General features: G+C 32.7%; 2 long non-coding RNA genes across 6 annotated transcripts in view, besides 1 other annotated feature; one reads left to right on the top strand and one right to left on the bottom strand.

Annotated features, from left to right (window-relative positions):
* Window positions 1-21,636, bottom strand: part of LOC102724340 (uncharacterized) — a 246,221-nt gene that overhangs the window by 77,160 nt on the left and 147,425 nt on the right. The window lies entirely within an intron of this gene.
* LOC105373776 (uncharacterized) overlaps window positions 1-21,636 on the top strand; it is a 116,629-nt gene that overhangs the window by 36,058 nt on the left and 58,935 nt on the right. For 2 of the 5 annotated variants that reach the window (XR_001739817.2, XR_923648.3), the window contains exons 3-5: window positions 4,365-4,418; window positions 13,875-13,969; window positions 15,408-15,494. The exons of 1 other annotated variant lie outside the window; for it this stretch is intronic. This is a non-coding gene — a long non-coding RNA (uncharacterized LOC105373776). Of the gene's footprint in view, window positions 1-4,364; window positions 4,419-13,874; window positions 13,970-15,407; window positions 15,495-21,636 lie in introns of those variants that run through there. 2 more of the 5 variants (XR_923649.3, XR_923647.3) reach the window with 1 other exon arrangement.
* Window positions 20,259-20,894: an enhancer, noted in NCBI's record as "OCT4-NANOG hESC enhancer chr2:185203164-185203799 (GRCh37/hg19 assembly coordinates)". NCBI's record gives its function as "activates a minimal SCP1, AML or CMV promoter by ChIP-STARR-seq in naive H9 embryonic stem cells {active_cell/tissue: H9 hESC(naive)}" and the evidence as "EXISTENCE:reporter gene assay evidence [ECO:0000049][PMID:30033119]".

Here is a 21,636-nt window from a genome sequence, read left to right as displayed (position 1 = left end):
AGATATTGGTATCAATTAAAAGGTTATTCTGTGGAGGACAAAAGTCCTGTGGATTAACAAAAGGCCCAGAACAAAGGGACAACAGCAACATCACCAACAAATACTAGCAAAAGCTTTAACAAGGAAAAGACTGAGCACAGGCTCTCTGAGGTATAGCATTAAAACAAGCATTTCTTCCCCTGAAATTCAAGATTAACACAATAAGCATAAAATATTGTATATTGAAAATGTTCTACTTTTGCAAGGAGAATATGCAAATTGGTTGGTTAGAATACTCTACCATTTTTTCTCTCCTCTAAAATCATCATGGTTTGTATGGCTAAAAGGAAAGAGGTTACTATTGTTGCATGGATATTAACCAGTCTCTGCTATCATCTGAATATAACTTCAAAGTAAACCTTGAAGTGATTGATACCGTGGGTGAGACGAGCAAAGTATAGTACTTGACAAACATATTGAAACCATACTTGCTTGAAAAGAGGAGAATGTAATTGTACTTTACAGCTCTGTACTATTTTTTATATGTTGACAAACATTTTTGTCAAGTTCAAGAGCCTTTCTTTACTAACTTCAAAAAGGAATGTCATTTTAATAATCCCAGTACGCTCTGAAATTCACACCTGCAGCATAATGTATGCATTCAAATCTAACTACATTTTTCGTAATTACTCTGTCAGTCATTTGATGTTTTTAAGTCTTTTTTTAAATGTGTGTATTACAGTTCCCAAAATAAGAATTCTTTCTAATAATAAGCCTTACATTAAATTTTCCTCTAATTATTACTTTTGGAATTGAAATATTATTAGTTTAGTGGCTCCACTATAATTATATTTGCCTCATTATCCAGTTGACCTTTATTAAAAGTTTAATAGAAAGGATATTTTAATAGAAGGAGTATTTTTCAACACAATTTGGTTCCAATTTTGTATATTTTTTGTGGGGATAGGTCCTACTGTATTAATCTGAGAAGAGAGATATTGTATTATAACTATGATATTTAATATAAAAAGTTCTGTATATGATAAAAGTAAAATGTAATACACTTATTTTATATAAAAACAAATATTGTAAATTATCTAATTCAAGTAGGTGTCTTGTTGCAATAACATTATCATTTATACCTTCTATATCTCATGAAAATAACTGATTCTAGATACCATTATTCATGTTCCAAAATAAATAGCTTTTATTTGGATTTTGAAGAAAAATCCAAATAAAAATTTGTTTGTGCATCATCATGCCATTAAAAATATTTTTTAAATTGTGCTAAAAATACCACAATGTTGGACGAAATATTCTCTAAAATCAGTACTCATGCTTAAAGCCTGATTTTTTTCAAAATAGAAAACTTAAAATAATTAATTAAAATAACTTAAAAGCTTAAAAGAGGCTGGGCACACAGAACCCAGGAGACAGAGGCTGCAGTGAGCTGAGATCGCACCACTGCACTCCAGCCTGGACGACAGAGCGAGACTCCGTCAAAAAAAAAAAAAAAAAAACACTTAAAAGAATGAATGTTAAGATTAAGCAACATATGACTACTTGCAACTAGCTGTTCTCATGCTATTTTCTAATCTTAACCTTCAGCATTTGACACAGTTCACTTGCTCCTCCTTCACATACTTTTGCCACCTGTCTCTCCCAAACCACAGAATCATACTGACTATTCTGTCACCTCACACTTCCAATCTATCAAAAAATCCTGTTACCTTGCCTTCAAAATATATCAGCTTTCTGACCACATCTTATTCCCTCCATTGGTCTTAGATACCAACATCTCTCAACTGGATTAATGCAAGCATATTCAAATGAGTCTCTCTTGTCCACTCTACCCCAACCCCGCACCCCACTCTACACCCAGTCTAGTCTCAACAGAGCAGCTGGATTAATCCTGTTAAATCTAAATGTATCTTGCCACCCTTCTATTCACAATCCTGAAGTGACTCCCCATTTATTTTATACTTAAATGTAAATGTCCTTAAAATGCCTTGTAAGACCCTACATAATCTGGTTTACCTTTAATTTGCTATCACATCTGTATTAAGCTTTGTGCTCCCTGCTCTGGCACACCAGCCTCCTTGCTCTATCTCAAACGAACACAGCACACTTCCTCATTTAGACGTTTGCCGTATCTGTTCTCTCTTCCTGCAGTGCTGTTCCCTTAGATATTTGTTTGGCTAACTTGTCCATATCCTTCTGTATTTTCTCAAATGCACCCTTTTGATGTGATTGACTCTGACCAAACATTAAATATTTCAATGAATTTCCCCTGCACTCATAGTTCTTCTTACCTTGATCTGCTTTGGCTTTTCTCCGTCTAAGTTAGCACCTGCTAATATACTTTTCAATTTTATTATTTGTCCTGTCTGCCTTGCTCCAGAAGAATGCAGGCTACATGGGGGCACACAATTTTGGTCTTATTTGTTTGTTGATATATCCCCAGCACTTAGACAAGTGAATGGCACTAGTGAGAAATTGAAAATTTGAGAGTCCGAATGATTGAATAAAATATATGTTTCAATTTTAATTAATGCATTTGACTTGTTTAGGCACAAAAATGGTGACTTTTTTCTGTCATGTAAAATTTGAAACTCAGATCTACTTTGTACATTTAACACGATGGTGAATAGGGTGTTTTGTTTTAATTAATTAACTTACTTATTTGGTAAGAAACTCTGCATGGTGTTTTAAAAAAATTCTGGTTACAGAGTAATTTTGTAAGGATGGAAGAGAGGTAGAATAATCATTTGGTAAAAAATAATAATTCAGGATTGACATATTTACTTAAAATCACTCATCTATAATATTTAGGAAAAGTATTTAAGATTGGGTCTCTCTACATATACATGTAGCTGATTGATAGACAACCTTTTGCCATTTCTAAGCTCTTGAAATTCTGTACTTAGTGTTCGATTTCCTGTTTTTTACATGAATAAAAACTTTTATTTTGTAACAAAGCAGTATTTCGATATACAATATTTGATCACAAATATTGACATGCAATATCTGGTATCAATTATTTATTGTAGCTAAACATAAACAAAAAATAGGATATTTCCTCTCCCATGTCAATAATATCTCCATTTGTAAAAAATAACTTCAATAATATCTGCTTTAGGGGAATAAGGAAAGAACAACATGAGTTCTTGCAAGTTAAATATTTGCTAGTGTTCTTGACATTTAAAAAATGTTTAAAATGTTGGCTATTATTTTTTATTATTATTACCAATCCAGTCCCAAAAGAATTAAAGTTCATAGAAATGCTTCATTCTATATCTTTATTTTCCATAAATATTACGTAACAACTTTTTGGCTACTATTATACCTAGGAAGATAGTAAAGTTTAAATTATATAAATTGATTATTTTATTTAGAAATATGCATTTTTGTAATTGAATGTACACTATAATTATCATGCTTCACTTGAAATTATTATCTAATAAAGCATGTTTGGATTTACAAAGTCCCACGTTTTCTTTAAAGAGATTCATATGATATCACTGATTGTCATCACTAATCACATTTGGAAACTAGGAATTAAATGAAGGAATGCGTTTGTTTGGATATAGTGTTACATATACAGATCTCTTGCATTGTGAATTAGTCTAAAGTTGTTAGAGGAATAAATTGAATATGTGTGTGTGTGTGTGTGCACATATATGCATGTGTGTTATATAGTTATATATTGGAGGTTATCTGAAGTTTACACAAAATTTTAGTTTTTGGAAAGATTCTAAAATAAATTATTAATAATGGCAAAATATAAAGATGCAATATGTTAGCACTTAATAAATCTGTTCAATAGTATCTTTCTGTTAGAACCATAAGGAGCAAAGACAGAGAAGACTGATAGAGGTGCCTTATAAATTTTGTAGTTTATGGGATCCATACTAAATTGCATAATAGTCCATTAGTAAGATTATTATGAGAGAGACATTTAAATGCTTTTAAGACAATTAAGGTTTTAGTTTTTTTCCTGTAAGAAAGATAATTACCTATATCTTTGTTATGTATGAGTAAATAATATACTTTAAAGTTCCCCAAGATTTAGTTTTTAAAAAAAAACTTAACTAAAGTAGAAATTGTAATAGTTTTATAGACAAGTTAGATAACAAATGTCATAAAGATACGCAGGAATTGATGTTCTTGAATAATAAACTCAGTATACTTAATGAAAAGTAGAATATATTTTTCTCTTCTGACTTTGATTTTGAAGTAATTACAAAACACAGAGAATTTCAAAAATAGTACGGAGATGTACCCGTCATTCAATTTTTCCTCACTGGTTATGTCTTAAATATAGTACAATATTAAACTAGAAATTTTCCATTAGTATAACTTGTGTGTATTTACTTGTCTTTTAGATGTTAATATTATTGCTGGAAGTTGGACTTTTCATAGAACATGTGAGAGATTAGGTGAGGTTCTCATCATATTAAAAAAAAACACAGATTTCTGCTAATTGTTACAAATTACTTTGAGCATGATCCTGTGTTATCTTCTGTAAAACTTTTTTTTCGAGAATCCTAAAGGATTCAAATTCAAATTTCATGTGACATCTTCTACTCTCTTAGGCTTTACATCTTACGCCATTTATTAGGCTATAGTTGTGCGTCAGAGGTCTATTAAGGTTCAAATTACTCAAAAGATAGCAAAAGACAAGATGATATCACCTATCTTGTTAAACTTGGTCTTTCCCCTTTAAAAGGAAGTTGTAAATGACATACTCAATCTGATTTTAGAAAAATGGTACAATATACATGTATTGCACAGTACAATAATTAAAATATATTTGTGAAATATTTCCTTTTAAAGCCTTAATCAGGTTTTTCTAGAAATTCTTTTTTAGTAAACCTATTATCTCTAGATGCTCATCAATACAATCTTAAAATAGTATTAAGGTTAATTTTCTTTTACCTTTTACTCCCACCACTATCAAGGAAAGATATTATGTATCCTCTTGAGGGAGGTCCAAATAGTCATTAAGGAAGTTGAGTAGTTTGGCTTGAGAGTTATTATTTATCATTTATACAGAGCCATACATATATATAGTGCAAAAGAGAATAAAGAAATGCATTAAACTAAGAGATTTGCTTCCAACATAATCCAGTAAGGAAAAATAAAAATCCAACATTGATAGTTTTGTAATACAGGAAGATTTTATAACAATGAAAGCCTTTGAAATATCAAGCAATATTAATATAAGAGAGAATAAGATCTTAAAAACAATTGATATTGTGACATTTAAGAAACATAAAAGTAGCAGAGGAAGAATATAAAGACATCACTCCATAGAAAGGTCAAAACAGCTATCTAGGAATGTGAATTTAGAAAAATGTAGCCCAGTAAAGAGTATTGCATTTCAGGGAAGTCTAAGAATATGTCTCTGTGTCTCTCTATATATGGAGAGAGGGACACAATTATAAATGTGTGTATTTGCAACTACATGAAAGTTTATATATTAGTAGATTAAAAAGAGAAATAAATACAAATCTCCAATGTAGATTTGAATTAGGTGAGAAAAAACTTAAGATCCATTGTTTAGAATGAATTATTATGTCTCTACAAAATAAGAAAAGGTAGTTTCTTTTAATACTAACATTTATAAGAAATATACAACTCATCCTCAAAGCAATCAACATATTTAAAGATGCAGTAGGATAATATCTACTACATTCAATGACTTGAAATAATGTTTGTTATCACTACTAATACATATAATTAATCTGAGAATTTCATCTGGCTCTTTCTTACCTCCCAAATTTCACCCAATATACCTCTTTTCTTTTCAAATTATGTTCCTGGAACACAGGATTTTTAAATGCTCAGATAACAAGTTCTGTTCTGTAACACATTCTACTTCTTCCTTTTCAACTTTCAGGTTTCTGACAGTCTACCTAAAGTATTGTCGTCTGCTTGTTATTAACTATCACATCACTCTGTTAATTTCTCCCATAACACAAGCATTACTTACATTTTATTATTTATTAATACTCAAATTTATTTTGTGCATTTTAATCATTCCCAGATTAAAACATATGCATTTTGAATAAATTATTTACATTTCTTTCCTACATATTTTCTCCCTCCATCAAATATTCTTCCATTTTTATTTTACCTTTGCTTCTGTAAGGGTCGGGTGCACCTGGGATGTGCAAATTAGTAGGATTCTAGCATGATTCTCTACCAGTTTTGTATGTAAGGTGTCACATTCTTTATCTCAATCATTCATCATTAAAAAGTTGCTTACATGTGTGCACTGAGGTCCCAGGTAGAATAATTATTTTAGAAGCTTAATAAATATAAAATTAATAACAAACAGCATGCCTTGTGATTATCCCTTTTTCTGCATTCCCTGGGCTTAGAACTTTACTTGAAGAATACAGTCATTTATTAAATATTTTAAATGAATAAATTAATACATTTTTTGAGAATAAGGTTATAAACATTCTTAATTGGTCTAAGGTTTCACAGCAATTCCTGTAAAAACCTCAGCTTTTTATTTTACATACAGACAATCTTACCCTAAACTTATATGAAAAAGGAAAGGAAATAGAATAGCTAAAACAGTATGGAAAAGAACACAATGGGAGGAATTACATTCCCCAATTTTATTTAATTATATAGCTACTGTATTCAAGACTAAGGGTTAATGGCAAAGGAATTGACATTGATTGATGAAACAGAACAGATAGCCAAGTAAAAGACCGAGACAACTACACCTCCAGCCAGCTGATTTTTAACAAAAGTACTAGTGCAATTCAGTGAAGGAAGGTAGCCTTTTCAACAGATAGTCCTGAAGCAACTGGATACACACAGCCAAGAAAATGCATCAACATAAACCCAATACTTTATACAAAAATTAATACCAAATTAATAAGAGATTTAAATGTAAAACTACTGTAAATCTTTTAGAAAAAAATAGAAAAATCCTTGGGATATAGGGCTTGGTAAAGAGTTTTTAGACATTAAACCAAAAGCTTAATCCTTGAAAAAAATTGATAAATGAGACTTCATAAAAACCAGAAATTTTAACTCTATGTAAAACTTTGTTAAGATGATACAAAGATGAGTTATAGACCTAGAAGATATATTTTCAAGCCACATCTGACAAAAGACTTGTATGTAGACATTATAACGTACTCTCAAAACTGAACAGTATGCCGATTTTGCTGAGGGTTTTAATCACAAAGGGATGCTGGATTTTGTCAAATGCTTTTTCTGCATCTATTGAGATGATCATGTAATTTTCATGTGGTGTATCACAATTATTGACTTGTGTATGTTAAATCATCCCTGCATCCCTGGTTTGAAACCCACTTGATCCTGGTAGCTTATCTTTTTGATATGTTGTTGGATTTCATTAGCTAGCATTTTGTTAAGAATTTCAGCATCTATGTTCATCAGGGATATTGGTCTGTAGTTTTCTTTTTGGTTATGTCCTTTCTTGGTTTTGATATTAGGTTGATACTGGATTCATAGAATAATTTGAGGAGGGTTCCCTCTTTGTATGTCTGGTGGAATAGTGTCAGTAGGATTGGTACAAATTATTTGAATGTCTGGTAGAATTCTGCTGTGAATCCATCTGGTCCTGGACTTTTTTTGTTGTTGGTAATTTTTTTATTTCCATTTCAAACTCGTTGCTTGTTAATGGTCTGTTCAGAGTATCTAGTTCTTCCTGATTTAAGCTAGGAAAAATGTATCTTTTCAGTAATTTATCCATCTCCTCTAGGTTTTCTAGTTTATGTGCATAAAAGTGTTCATAGTAGCCTTGTTTCTTTTGTATTTCTATGGTGTCAGTTGTAATATCTTCCATCTCGTTTCTAATTGAGCTTATTTGGATTTTCTGTCTTCTTTTCTTGGTTAATCTTACCAGTGGTCTATCAATTTTATTTATCTTTTCAAAGAAGCAGCCTTTTGTTTCACTTATCTTTTGTGTTTTTTTGTTGTTTCAGTTTCATTTAGTTCCACTCTGATCTTGGTTATTTCCTTTCTTCTGCTGGGTTTGGGTGTGGTTGGTACTTGTTTCTCTAGCTCCTTTAGGTGTGACCTTAGATTGTCTGTTTGTCCTCTTTCAGACTTTTCAATGTAGGTGTTTATGGCTATGAACTTTCCTCTTAGCACTGCCTTTGCTGTATCCCACAGGTTTTGATAGGTTGTGTCACTGTAGTCATTCAGTTTGAATAATTTTTAAATTTCCATCTTGATTTCACTTATTTAATTTCCATGTATTTGTATGGCTTTGAAGGTTCCTTTTGGAGTTGACCATCAGTTTCATTTCACTGTAGTCTGAGAGAGTGCTTGATGTAATTTCAATTTTCTTGAATTTACTGAGGCTCATTTTGTGGCCCATCATAAGGTCTATCTTGGATAAAGTTCCATGCGCTGTTGAATAGAATGTATATTCTGTGGTTGTTGGGTGGAATGTTCTGTAAATATCTGTTAAGTCCATTTGTTCCAGGGTATAGTTTAAATACATAGTTTATTTGGTGACTTTCTGTCTTGATGACCTGTCTAGTGCTGTCAGTGGAGTACTGAAGTCCCCAACTATTATTGTGTTGCTGTCTGTCTCATTTGTTAGGTCCATTAGTAATTGTAATATAAATTTGGGAGGTCCAGTGTTAGGTGTATATTATTTAGGATTGTGATATTTTTCTGTTGGAAAAGGCCTTTTATCATTATATAGTGATCCTTTTTGTCTTTTTTAACTGCTGTTGCTTTAAAGAGATCCAAATACAAAATGGCCAAAAGATATAAACACATATTTCACAAAAAGGATATGTGAATGGTAAATGACCATATGAAAAGATGTTCAACACCAGTAGCCAGTAGGGAAATGGAAATTAAGACTACAATGACATATTACTACACACCTACTAGAGTAGATAAAATATATTTTTAAAATGTGACAATATTAAATTCTGATGAGGATGACAACCTAGATCTTGTATACATTGCTGGTGGAAGTGTAAAATGATATACTCATTCTCAAAATAGTTTGACATTTTCTTTAAAATTTAACAAAAACATGTACATGCCATATACCTAGCTGTCACATGGCTCTTATTCAAAACAAACACCTAAACAAAACCTGTACAAGAATGTTCATAGCAGCTTTATTTTTAATAACCCAAAACTGAAAACAACCAAAACTCCTTTAAAAGGCAAATGGCTAAGCCAACTGTGGTATATCCCTGCCGTAAAAACTTATTCAGCAACTTAAAAAGAATGGGCAAATTCTTCTAATTTTGGTCTGTCCTTCAAGGAGCTTAGAAATCACCACATGATCCTGACAACAAATGAAAAGCTAAATATTTTTTTTAAAGTCAATAAAGCTTTTTAGGTATTTCGGAGAAGTGAGATCACGGGGCAAACCACTGTGCCCAAAATTGAAGGAACAGGTAGGTAGACAGACACACACAAAAAAACACCACTTATCAGAGCAGGTGTCCCCACAGGAACCAGTTATCATAGTAAGGAAACCTAAATGGTAATGGGGCAACTGCTGGAGGCTCAGGATGGACAAGTCTGAGAGTTAAAATCTCCAGGGGGACTCAGTTATAGGGAACCCTAATGCTTTTGTGGGTTTATTTCCAGGAGTTATACCAGCTCATCACAGTGAATATCAGAGAAAAATCCCCTCCTGCTTTGAGCAGAAGAGGGGAGAAGTAACCCCTTTGAAATATACTAGAGCACTCTGTTCTTCTTAAGAAGGCCTTCCCTCAGGAGAAACTGTTTTTATCAGAGCCTTAATCTGCTAGAGCTTTACCAGAGTCTAACCCACCCAGGGCAAGTAAAACACCCTACTTTAGTTACCTCTAGCCTACTAAGCGGAGGAAGAGAAATACCCAAAATCCAGCCCTTTTACTTATCTTGTCCCACCTAAGTGGGATGGGAGGGAATAAAGAAGCACTGGTGAAATCCATAGGCCAGGAGCACAAACTCACCAAAAGACTAAGACCTAATAATAAGACTACAGATTGCTTTCTTCCTCCTGTCCCCACATTACAACTGCATTACTAAAGACCAATTTACTGCCTTTTTTTAAAATTACCGAGTACATCATATTTATCTTCCAGCAAAAACTAGAAGGCATACTGAAAGGCAAAACAAAACAAAAACAAGCCCCACACAGTTTGAGAAAGCTAAATAAGTGTTAGAACAGTGTCAGATTTGGCAGGAATATTAGAATTATCAGAGCAGAAACTTAAAATAAATCTAATTTAATTTCATTTAATTTAAACAAATCTTACAGTTAATATGCTGAGGGTTTTGACGAAAAAAGGAGACAACATGTAAGAACAGGTAGATAAATGTAAGTAGATGGAAAAATTCTAAGAAAGTATCAAATAGAAATGCTGGAGATGGAAACACTGTAAAAGAAATGAAGAATACCTTTGATAGGCTCATTAGTAGACTGGAGGAGATGAGGAAAAAGTCTCTGACTTTGAGAATATAATAATAGAAACTTCCAAAATTGAAAAGCAAAGAGAAAAAAAAAAACTAAGAGAAAAAAAAACTAAGAACTAACAAACAAAAAAACAAAAAACCCCTGAGAACAGAATACTCAAGAACTCTGGAACAACTAGTTCCAGAGTTACAAATAGTGTAACGTACACATATTGAGAATACCACATGTAGAAGAAAGAAATGAACAGAAGAAATATTTAAAGCCATAATGACTAAAAGTTTTCCCAAAATAATGTCAGACACTAAATCACAGATCTAGAAAGCTCAGAGAATACCAAGCAGCATAAATACTAAAAAACCTACACCTAAGTACAGCATATTCAAGCTTCAGAAAATCAAAGATTAAAAAAATTTGAACAAAGCTGGGGGAAAAAATACCTATAGAGGAGCAAAGATAAGAATTACATCCAACTTCTCAGAAACTATGCAAGCAATTATTGTAGTAAAATATTTAAAGTGTTGACAGCTTATGTATGCTTTTGTACAAGTGAAATGAAAGACAGCAATGATATAAGAAATGAGAAGAATTCGGAATATTTTGTGAATGTAAGATACTTATGCTAATTGTGAAGCAGTACAGTGTTATTTCTAAAGTGGACTTTAGAAGTATAATTGATGTGAAAAGAAGATAAAAAATAAGAAAAAAAGGAATTATATAAAGTGCACAATGTTTAACCAAAAAAAAAAAAAAAAAAACAGACAAAGTGTGAACAACAAAATAGAAACAAAGAATAAAGGCAACAAATAGAAACCAGTAACAAATATAGTAGATATTAATCCAACTGTATCAATAATTAATATATGTGAATTAAAAGACAGAGATTTTTAGAGTGCATCAAAAAATAAGACCCAATTATATACTTTCTAAAAGAAACTCACTTTAAATCTAAGGAACTCTATAGAGGAAAAGTAAAGGATGGAGAAAGATATACCATACTATCTCTAATCAAAATAAAGTGGGAGTAGCTCTGTCAGTTGCAGACAGAGCAGACTTAAGAACTAAGAATGCCATCTGGGATTATGGACAAATTTGATAATTTAGATAACGGGATTGCTGGGTCAAAAATTTAGAAATAGCTCAATTTAACAACCTAACATTACAACCAGAAGAACTGGAGAACCAAGAGCACATCAACCCCAAAGCTGGCAGAAGACAAGAAATAACCAATATCAGAGCTGAACTAAAGAAGACAGAGACATGAGAAACCATTCAAAAGATCAATGAATTCAGGAGTTGTTTTTTGAAAAAGAAAAAAATAATAATAAAATAGACTGCTAGCCAGACAAATAAAGAAAAGAGAGAAGATCCAAATAAACACAATTACAAACAATAAAGGGGACATTACTGCTGACCCCACAAAAATACAAATAACCATCAGAGAATATTATGAACACCTCTATGCAAACAAAATAGAAAATCTCAAAGAAATGGGTAAATTCCTGGACACATATGCCCTCCCAAGACTGAACCGAGAAGAAACTGAATCCTGGAACAGACCAATAATGAGCTCTAAAATGGAATCAGTAATAAATAGCCTACCAACCAAAAAGAGCCCTGGACCAGACAGATTCACAGCCAAATGCTATCAGATGTACAAGGAAGATCTGGTACCATTCTCACTGAAGCTATTTTTTAAAATCTAGGAGGAGGGACTCCTCCCTAACTCATTCTGTAAGACCAGCATCATCCTGATACCAAAACCTGGCAGAGACATGATAAAAATTAGAAAACCTCAAGTCAGTACCTTTGATGAACCTCAATGCAAAAATCCTCAACAAAATACTAGCAAACCAAATCTAGCAGCATATCAAAAAGCTTATCCATCATAATCAAATAGGCTTTATCCCCGGGATGCAAGTTCAATTCAACCTACGCAAATCAATTATTATGATTCATCACATAAACAAAACTAAAGACAACAACCACATGATTATCTCAATAGATGCAGAAAAGGCTTTTGATAAAATTCAACACCCTTTCATGTTAGAAACTCTCAATAAACAAGGTATTGAAGGAACATTCCGCAAAATAATAAGAGCTATCTATGACAGACCCACAGACAACATCATACTGAATTGGCAGAGGCTGGACATATTCCCCTTGGAAACCAGCACCAGACAAGGATGCCCTTCTTACCACTCCCATTGAAGGTAGTATTTGAAGTCCTGGCCAGGGCAATTAGGCAAGAGAAAGAAACAAATGTATTCAAATAGGAAGTGACTAAGTCAAACTATCCCTGTTTGCATATGACATAATTTCATATCTAGAAAACATTATAGTCACAGCTCAAACATCTCCTTAATCTGATAAACTTCAGTGAAGTCTCAGGATACACAATCAATGTACAAAAATTACTAGCATTTCTGTACACCAAAAACAGCCAAGCTGAGAGCCAAATCAGGAATGCAATCACATTCACAACTACCACACAAAGCATAAAATACCTAGGAATAGGGCTAACCAGGGAGGTGAAAGATCTTTACAATGAGAACCACGAATCACTACTCAGAGAAATCAGAGATGACACAAGCAAGTGGAAAAACATTCCATGCTCATGGATGGGAAGAATCAATACCATCAAAATGGCCATACTGCCCAAGGCAATTACATTTGTAAAAAGGAATAGGCTACTGATACAGGCGGTAACATGTTTAATCTCACCTGAATTACTATATAATAAAAACCAATCCCAAAAATGTCACACTCCATGTGATTCCATTTATATAGCATTCTCATAAGGACAAAATAATAAATATGGAAACAGATCAGTGTTTCTACTGATGATGGGGGTGGTGATAAGAAGGGAGTTACATGTGACTGCAAAGTGGGCAGCCTGAAGGGAAACTTTGTGTTGAAGAAATAGTTCTATAGGTTGATTGTCATGGTGGTTACCTGAATTTACACTCACAGAGAACCACAAGCACACACTATACCAATGCCAAATCCCTTCTTTGATATTTTGTTATAGTTACGTAAAATATAATCACTGTAGGAAACTTGGTACAAGGTACATAGAGCTCTCTGTCCTTTTTTTATTTTTTTTTGCTATTCTCGTGAATTTGCAATTATTTCAAAACAAAAAGTAAAAAGAAAAAGGTAATTTCTGACTGTGTATTTCTGACTACTTTCAGTCTAATGAAAGGAAAAAAAAAAGATATAATTTTTAAAACTCTCCTTAGAGGTGTTCTGTTTGCAGGCGTGTCAGAGGTACCCAAGACTATTGGTTTGATGATTCCCTAGGGGGAATTATCACAGAATTTAGCACAAGTTTTACTCACAGCAAAAGGATACAGGACAAAATTAACTAGTAGAGAAGTTGTATCGAGCAAATCTGGGGAAAGCAGATAGTTTCCCACGGGTCCTCTCCCAGTGGAATCACACAGAATGTGCTTAATTTCCCCAGCAAGAACATGTGAAATGTTTTCAACTGGGAAGTCGGATACAGAAGCATCATCCACAGTTTTTATTGGGCCGAGTCAAATAGGGGGCCTCTACCTGGTATGTACAAAAATTCCAGACTCTTAGAAGGAAAGTAGGTGTTCAGGATATACCATATTGCTTACCCAAACAGTTTAGACACAGTGAGCAATTCTTACCAGTTAGGAGTGTAGGAACATTCTTGAAATCCAAGTTCCCAGATGCCAGCCAAGAGCTCATCTTACAAGCAGAACTTTTCAAGGGTAGCAATTTAAACCCACTGTGTTAATAATTTTCTGTATAGTAAGGCCATACATATTGTAAAATTAAGCAAATAAATAAATATATGTCAAATACAAATGTATGACATTATGAGAAGCAAGTATTCATGCTATGAAAAAACAAATATGGAATGGGGGGTCTAGTAAGGCAAGGATGAAATCTGTGTTGTTAGTTGAGTATTGAAGATAACAACATAAACATGATTTTTAAAAATCTATGTATCAATATATCTATCTACCCACCCTCCTACCAACCTACTAAATTATAGTTCTCTTTGTTAAAAGGATCCAAGTGCAATATCAACCCAATAGGCATTAAGTCATCAAGCAATTATATCTGGCTCCTCAAAACTATTATTCACTTAAGGGAACAAGTAATTTTTGAAGAAATAGTTGATTTAAAGGATGGGGCAGAGAAAGTACAAAGTAAACTCATAACACTTCATTTGCCAGAAAGTAAGAAAATACCATTAAAGGGGGAGGGACTCAAGTCAATGTGAAAATGTTCGCACTAGCCAATTATGGGACAATTTCAGCATGAAACGTATTGTAAAAAGAACGGATTATAATCCACTGACTATGAACCCATAGTGATTATAAGTAAGTGTATTAATAAATAAATAACGTAGGTGTAAAAACAATAGATTTTAAAAATAACTCCCGGCACCAATTTTTTATTTATATTTCAGCCAAGAATAGTCCATGACTGCCAAAACCATCAGTTAAAATGTGATGGAGAATGGAATACTTACATAGTCTCAGAGAATCTCAACAGGCTGCTTTTTTAATATACTGATATAAAAGATGCCACCTAAATTAAATATGTCAAATTAACATACAACAACTAGGACTCATGGACATTATGCCACCCACAATGTGTTGTACTAAAAAAAATTGTGATATTATATATGTTAAATTTTTGCCAAAAATGCGTAATCTGAATCTAATCATGTGAAAACAAAGAAAAATCCATATATTCTCCTTAAAGTGCCTGTGTTATGAGATAAAAAGAAAAGGTGAGCAATTGTTTATGTCTAAAGGTGGCTAAAGAGACCCACAAATTAATAAAAGCATTATCTTGGATCAATTAAAAATATTATCTATATATATATATCTGGGACAATTGAAAGAATTGGAGTATAGATAGTGTATTAGATATAATTATTATATCAATGTTAAATTTTCTGAACATGTTAATTGTACTGTGAACATGTGATCGAATGTCCTTGTTCTTACAGGTTGAATTATTAAGGGATAATTGATCATGTCTGTAACTTGCTCTCAAATGGTTCAGCCAAATGTCAGAAATGTCAGAGAGACAGAGAGAAGGAGACAGGAGGAAGGGAGAGAGAAAGAGAAAAAGAGAAGATATAGTAAAGGTGGCAAAATGATGAAAATTGGCAAATGTACGTAAAGGCATACAGAACTTCGATGAACGATTCTTGCAACCTTTATATAATTCTGAAGGCTTTTAAAAAAATGGCAAGCTTTCAAATAAAAGCAATTTAGGAATTGTTTTCTATATACATGGTAAATTAATGAAAATAAAGCTACACAGTTTTTAAATGGCATTAAACACTGAATATATTGACTGGGCCTAATTTATGGGAGTGAAAGTCAAGTCATGTGGAATTTTCATATTCTTTTTAAATTATGTAAATTAAATTAGAAAGTTAAAATGTTAAGCTACCACCTGGCACAGTTACTTAAAAATATTTTCATTAACTGATTAAATTAAATTACTTTATTACTTTTATATAAGTAGCTTTTGCTTTTATAATATATACAGCTGAATCAGATAATCAAAGTCCTACTGGAGTATAAGCATTAAGTCACAAGAAGGCCTAAAGAGGGCCCCATTGAGAATCTAAACCAAACCATTCTCTTGGCATCTCAAGGTATCTTAGTGCTGGATTAAGGCTGATGTCTAGGAATCTACACATAATTCACAGAAAACAAATTGTCTCATTCCTCATTGGTAAATTTAGTACTCTTCCCATTAACTTCTTTGACGAGGATTGTAATTGGAGACCAGTGCGTGTTAAAGGGGCTCCTTAGGCAAACCCAGAGAGTGCCACAGGTCAGAATTAGCACCTTTCATAAATCTTGATATAAATGTAAAAAACATATTTTTCAGCATATTCAAATGTATTATACTCTCACATTACCTCTCTAAGATTTCTCATCCAAAGGGTTTCCTATAGGAGAGAACCAAATACATTGGAAAGAACAATAGGAAAGTTCACTTGCCAGAGTTTGGAAGGGAAGTGTGCTGGAGATAGAGGGTCTGTCAAGCCCTGTGTATCTGGACTCTTAGATCTCCAGCCTGGCCTGCCAGCCTGGATCTAGTATCTAGTCTCAGAGAACATGAAGTACTTAGGTTATCACATTTTTCCTGTTTAGGGGGTCACAGCTCTGCCTATAGATTCTCCAGCTCAGACGTTTGACATTACAAGCAGCTAACAATGCTCACATATCATGCTTTAATAGCACATTTAGGTACCATCCTACTATCCTGTGTGGAACACTGGAATCGGTGGCTAGAGCATCTTAGAGAGCTCCATTTGCACACAAAGTGAGTGCATAAGTCAGGGTAACGTCTTGGCACCCCAGTCTACCCTCCATATCATTTACATGTGACAGGGAGAGCAATGCAGCAACCACCTTAAGATTACACAACAAAGGACAAACACAGAATCCTAATGAATTGTGTAATGCCAAAAGCCAGTATTTCTTAAGAAGATTTAAGTCCCAGTTAATTTCTTCACACCTAATACAGTGAAGATTAGTTTGAGGCAATCAGTGCACAAGCCTAGACAACATGATTTGAGCACAGTTTTGCCAAAACTCTTCCCTATTTATCACAAAAGGACTTCATTTGTATGATATCTACCTCAATTTGAAACAGTTTATTATGCAGGGAAAGACAGACGTAACGTAAGTTTACATTTTATGTATCTCCCACTAATATATGTATAGGTAAAACATAAAATTCATGGCTATTTCAGGTGGATTTTCAAAAATATATGCATATCTAAAATGAGATAATAACATTGGCTAGCATGCTATGTTTTCAGCAATATAGTATAAAAACTTACTTTGCCCTATTTTGGGCTTAAAACTAATGCTAGATTTCAAAAGAAAATTTCAATTAATCAGAGAACAAAAGTTCATAATTTTCTTATGAGATTATTTATTTGAAATTATCAGTGTCTTACCAGGAGTGGAGACTGGGAGGAAATAGATAAAAAGTAGAAAATGATACAAACTTGCAGTTATGTAGGATGAATAAATCTGGAGCTCTAATGTAAAGCATGAGGAATATAGGTAATAATGTTGTATTGTATACTGAAAACTTGCTAAGAGAGCAGATTTCAGAGGATCTTACTCCAGAAAAGTAACTGTTGAAGGTGATAGAAATGTTAATTTGATTACACTATGTATATGTGTATCAAAACACCATGTTGTATATCTTAAATATATACAATAACAAATGGGCTTAAATATAAATGTTTTATAAAACAAAGTATTTGGTAAAAATTATTTTACTTTAAAATTTCATCTTTCTTGTTCAAAATAGTTTTTTAAAACAATATTATAATGGAAAGTTTTACAACTACAATAAATGCTTCTTTGAAAACTTTAACACACCTGAATAAATAGCCACTAAGATAATATTGTAACTATGAATATAAAAATGTTGGTATTACAGCCTTACTTGAAACACAACAAAACTATTTTCTTTATGCTATTTTAACCTTTTATAAACTAATTGAGTTCTTCCCAGAAATGCATTGATTGGGCATCAAGGTGCTCAGTTAATACTCATTTAGTTTTAATTACTTACATGTATTAAAATATCAGAAAATCATGTGAATAAAATGTAGCATTCTTCCATATTTTACTACCTATCCTGTACCTCCAGCTTTTCATGAATAAACTTGTTTCCTGTTAGTTTTTATTCCAATATGAGCTAAGAAGCCCAAGAATCTCTAAACATCCCTAGGATGCTTTCCACGGATACACCTGACAGTTTCTATTATTTGTCTCAAAAAAAATAGTATGATCACTTTATGATTATTTATATGTGGTTTTGCTAGAAAAGAATTGAACATTGTTAGTTGATATATAACAGAAATAAACATATATTAATAATTTTCAAGTAAACATTATTATCTCTGGTAATGATGCTACATCTATAAGAAACCAAGTACTTTTCATGGCTATCACCAAGCCTTTATGCACCCATCCAAATTTTGGATGTGAGGGAATTAAAATAAAGCAGAAAGAAATGCAGTATATGTAGGTAGTGGAAGCCTGAATACCTCTTTGTTTAAAGATACCTAGATTCACAGTATTTCCACGTTAATCATACTGAATTATAATTAATTTGGTGACACAATTCACAACTATAATAGTACTTGTTAAAAGTTAGGCTGTCAAAACATAGTATATGGCCACTACATTAGTAAAGACTGACATCTTCAATTTAAAAAAGCTCTATCTGAATCTGGTAAACAAATATCTCGTGAGGCAAATTTCCCCAAGTAAGTAATGACTAAAAATGAGAAATTTTTGAAATATACAACTACTGTGTTCTTTTTTGTATCTTCCCCAGAGGTAAGGAGAGGTTTAGGAACAGGTTGGGGGAAAGGTAAATACAATGAAAGGCAAGTACATTGTTTGCTATAATTTATCTGAGATTTAGCCTCCCTTCTTGGTATCGGGGAGGAGGGACCAGTGAGTGACTTGTAATTAGAATAATTCTAAATTGCAAACAAACTGAAGTGAAATATGGTATTAACATGAGTTAGTCATTAACTCTTGTTCTATTATTGATGTTTTCTCCTCATTACTACACAAAATGGCAGAATCCTGGCTTAACTTATGACATCTTTTATCTTTATCATCTTTATATATTGAAATTTTTTCTAGATGAGTCATGAAGGCTAAATGTGTGTGTGTGTGTGTGTGTGTGTGTGTAATATAACTGTATTTCAATCATATTACTCATTTTTGAGAAATCTAAGTGTCTAACTGAAATTTATACTTGTGTCAACTAAGGACGGTGCCTGGTTCAGGAAATTCCTTGTGATTAGATATTATGACTGTATTACAACTATATATCTTTTGCCACAATTGATTAAATATGCATTTCCCCAGTATGAAATCTTTTCAACAGGAAAAGGCAAATATTATGGTAAATGTAATAATCAGACCTTCTTAGTTAAAATATGTGAATTATATCATAAATGTAGACATTTCAAAATAGTTATTTATAAGTACTTCAAGAGAGGAAAACTTAAACATCCATAATGCTAGAGTCTAAAGCTAAGTTAGCAAACATACTGAGAGACTTTAAGTGTATTCTTAATGATACTCCATTTCCCTGAGACATGCTGAGACATTCTTAATATTTGTTCACCTTCTCTTGTATCTAAAAAATCCCCCAAATTTATCAGTCTTTCATATTATCCCCCCAAACCTACACATTTACATTAATATTTCATCAGTTATATTACTTTTCTAGGCATGCTATGCTCTAATGTTATTTGGCCAAATGCATGTAGCTGCTATTGAAGAATAAATTACACCGGACAAAGTTAATTAGGCAAGATGACCTTATTCAAGGTTATTGAATTATTATTGAAACAGTGGATAGAGGCAGAACTCAGTCTGAATTAAACCTGCTTAAACAAAGGGCTGAGACCATTAACCAACCTCTCTTAACCCCTCCGTTCCCATAGAAGAAGTAAGTTCTAGTGTTGAATAGCACAGCAGTGTTACTATAGTTAACAGTAATTTATCGTGTATTTCAAAATAGAAGAAAAGATTTGAAATGTTCCCAACACACAGAAAGATGCATATTTGAGGTGATAGATATCCTAAAAATTCTGATTTCATTATTACACATTGTATGCATGTATCAAAATATCACATGAACTCCATAAATATATACAATTATTATGTATCAGTAACCAAAGAGACAAAAACAAAGGGCTAGGAGTTCTTAAAAGCTGAGGTGGGAGGATGAGTTATAGACCAGTTGTGGTGTTTGCTTACTGCCTTTACCCAAAAGAAGAGTAAACCTTCCCTTTTTGGCAGAGGTGGTTTTGGAGGCGGTTCCCTGCAGAAGTTAGACCCTTATTTTTCCATAGAATCTGGAAGATAGGGGCACTTCTTTAACATTACATTTCAAAGGAATGCCTCCCAGGTCTTTGAGAAAGACATTCTTAGGTTGTAAAACTAGCAAGAAGCTTTTAAAATGATTTACACCTCAAAGGAACAGAGGAACGAATTTACAATGACAAGATTTCTAAAGTAAATGCTCTTTAAAAAAAAAAAAAACAAAAAACAAAAAAACACGGGTCAGGGACTTAGAGGCAGAAAGAAGCCCGTTTAAAGCTCGATCCAACTGAGAGAAACACTAAGGACTTCTTGATCCCTGTCATTTGGCTCATAATTAAAATTCAGTCTCCAATGATAGTAATTGGAGCTGCAGATATGATTCTGGGGAAATAAATAGCTGTGGTATGTTCAAATCACTACTCCTGGGTTTTTTTTTTTTTCTCTTACACAAAATGAGGATGTTGGACAAAATTATCTCTCAAGTTAATTCCAATTTAACTTCTACAGTCCTATTTTTCTAAGATTCTTGTTTGTTTATATTCTCTTATATAAAGAAGAAGGAGAAAGGTGGAGAAGGAATGAATATCATTGATTGCTCTATTTGATAAAAGCATAGCTGAAAAGAAAAATATATAAAAAAATTAATAACAGCAAATGATCGTGTTCAAATCTTTAACGAGAAGAAAAGCTAGGTGTCTATAATGCTAGATTCCAAAACAAATTTGTTTTCATGTAAAGTTCACGTAAATTATGTCGACATAACTTGCTTGTATTGTTAATGATGATCTTTTTTCATGAGAAGTGGTGATTTCTGATCTTATGTCCTTTTCACCCTTTCCACCAGATTCTCAAGTCTCAACTAGGTTAAATGTAAAAATTTATGTTAAATATTTTTTTATTAATCATTAGACTTACAAGTTTCCAAATTAACTAGACTATCATTAGCCAAATGCCCTTTTAAGGGTTTGCGCTCTTTCTAATTACATCCTGCTGCTATAGTACCCAGGTATTTCATCCACAATTTTCCCCCAATTTTTATAGGTATTTCATTTAGGTATGCCAAGTTCATTGCAAATTTGAATCAGTCTTTTGAAGATCTATAGTTTAAAATTAAGCAATACAAGCTAAGCATTTCCTTTGGTTTCTGACAGATAACAATATGAATAGGCAACACATTGTTTTCAGGTTTTTTTCTTGCTTTAAACAAATTTCATTAGACTCATATCTTGTTTCTTTTCTTAACATCTTAAACTTTGGTTTCTAGCAGAGCAAAGAATAATGGAAATAGCTGAGAAATTAAAGGTCTATATTCTGATTCAAATGCCAATTCAATTCTAA

Source organism: Homo sapiens, chromosome 2 (genome assembly GCF_000001405.40).
Source record: "Homo sapiens chromosome 2, GRCh38.p14 Primary Assembly".
NCBI classification, from domain to species: Eukaryota; Metazoa; Chordata; class Mammalia; order Primates; family Hominidae; genus Homo; species Homo sapiens.
Note: the sequence above shows the minus strand (reverse complement) of the source record. Positions and strands in the feature narration are given on the sequence as shown.